Consider the following 1995-nt stretch of genomic DNA (forward strand, 5'->3'; position numbering starts at 1 on the left):
AAAAGCCTGGGGCTCACAGATGATGGACACGTTTTTTGGAGGAGAGCGACAGGCGAATGGCATGGAGAGCAGCAGGAGCGATTTGGGCAGGTATTGCTCCCTCAACTCCCATCTACAGCTGCGTCTCGGGAGACAGGGGCTGGTGACCTGGCTGGCCAATAGACTGGCAGTGGTCAGAAGTGATTTTCCTCTCCTACTATCTCTGTCCGCCCTCCAGAGGCAGGGCCTGTCCTGGAGGAGGGAGGATCTGAGTAGTTTACTCCTCCCTGAGAAGCAGGTGTAAAGGCAGGCCTGGGCCCAAGGAGGAGTAGAGGCAAAGCGTTGCTAACCTTCTGCTCCTTTTGGTGTGGTTCAGAAGTCATTTCCCAGCTGGCTTCTAGGAAGCTGCCAATCTCTTGCTAACAAAGACAGCTCGGGGAAGGGCCAGCTCAGCCCTTAGCAGGCTCAGGGCCACAGGGGAGCTGCTGGCTGCCCAGAGGTAGGGGCAGCCTTTGCTACTTGCTAACAGGTGTGTAGATGGGGACTAGGAGGACAAAGACTTAATCAAAGAGGTTAACGGGGGTCGTTGTTCACCTGAGTGCACAGCTCTAGTGAGTACACAGCTCTAGTGAGTACACATAGATATGGGAAGGCAGAGAGGAGAGGAGAGGGGAGGAAACTCATGCTCAGTGCTGTTTCTCCTGTAAGGGAGGGGTCACTGCAAGTGTTTGGAAAAGACAGGCGATCCCTAAACCTGGTGTTAGAGTAACATTTTCAAACTTAAAAAATATATTTTAATGCCCAGTGGATCTGATGTTCATTCAGTTCTCCCAGGAGCCCTGCAAGAAGGTATTCTTACCAGTTAGCCCTCTTTACAGATGGAAACACCATGGCACAGAGGGATTCATTTGACCAAAGTTGCATAGCTAGCAAGAAGTGGGGGCAGAACTCAGGCTTTGGAGTCTTCTGGCTCCAAAGCCCACGTGCTTTGCAACCACACCGTGCCCAGCCCTTAGAGGATTCTGGGAATCCGGAGCCTTCCTCAGGTTCGCCAGGAAGCCCTGGTGGGGAGGAACCAGAAACATGTGCTTCCTTCATCCAAGGTGGCAGAGCACAAGGTGGGTGAGCCAGAACATGCGAGTGGCACGCCCTCAGCAAGTGCACAAAGGAAAACTAAATGTTTACATTTATTTTTAACTATAGGAGGTATATATAGTTATATTTTAAAAATACACATAGTACTGATAAAGCCTAAGTGTTCCCTTTCTCGCTCCTTCCCAGCCCCCTTCCTAGTGGTGACTAGGGAATGACTGAAGCCTCACAGACAGCTGCCTATGCATTTTACATACACATACAAATAGAAACATGTAGGATCTTTTGTTTGTTTTTTATGTAAATGTTAAAATGTGGTACATATGGTTTGCAATTTGCTCTTTTCACTTAAAAATATGACTTGGAGCTATTTCAATTCCACTACCTATAGATCTGCCTCATTTTTATCTGCTAAATAGTATTCTATTATGTATGTATACGTATGCATTTGTATATACATATGTCTGTATGTATCTTTAATTATTTTCCCCTCTTGGACATTTGAGTCACTACTAGAAACAATATAATGAAGAACATCTTTGTCAGCGCTTTTCTGTAAACATAAAGGAGTATTTCTCTAGGATAGACATGAAATGAAACTCCTGGCAGAATTAGTTGAGTAATGGTATATTTAATTTGAACAAATACTCTTTGCCAATTTACAGTCCCAACAGCGTATCAAACTTCCCATTTCTCCACACTCCCTGGAGCCCTGATTATTACCAATATTATAATTTTGACCAAAATAAAATATATGATTTAATTTGAATTTCCCTAATTTTAGTAAGCATTTTCATACTTACTAAAAATTACATACACTCACTGCTTATTTATGCATCCTCTTCTATGAATTCCATGCTCATTTTTTTTTGCCTATTCTTATCATTTTGTAGAAACTCTTTCTATACCCTGGATATTGATTTA

At 43.9% G+C, this 1995-nt stretch overlaps 1 annotated feature.

Annotated features, from left to right (window-relative positions):
* Window positions 1037-1212: a silencer, noted in NCBI's record as "fragment chr11:119751764-119751939 (GRCh37/hg19 assembly coordinates)". NCBI's record gives its function as "represses an EF-1alpha promoter that drives an FKBP-Casp9 reporter gene in an ReSE screen in K562 erythroleukemia cells {active_cell/tissue: K562}" and the evidence as "EXISTENCE:reporter gene assay evidence [ECO:0000049][PMID:32094911]".

Source organism: Homo sapiens, chromosome 11 (assembly GCF_000001405.40).
Source record: "Homo sapiens chromosome 11, GRCh38.p14 Primary Assembly".
NCBI classification, from domain to species: Eukaryota; Metazoa; Chordata; class Mammalia; order Primates; family Hominidae; genus Homo; species Homo sapiens.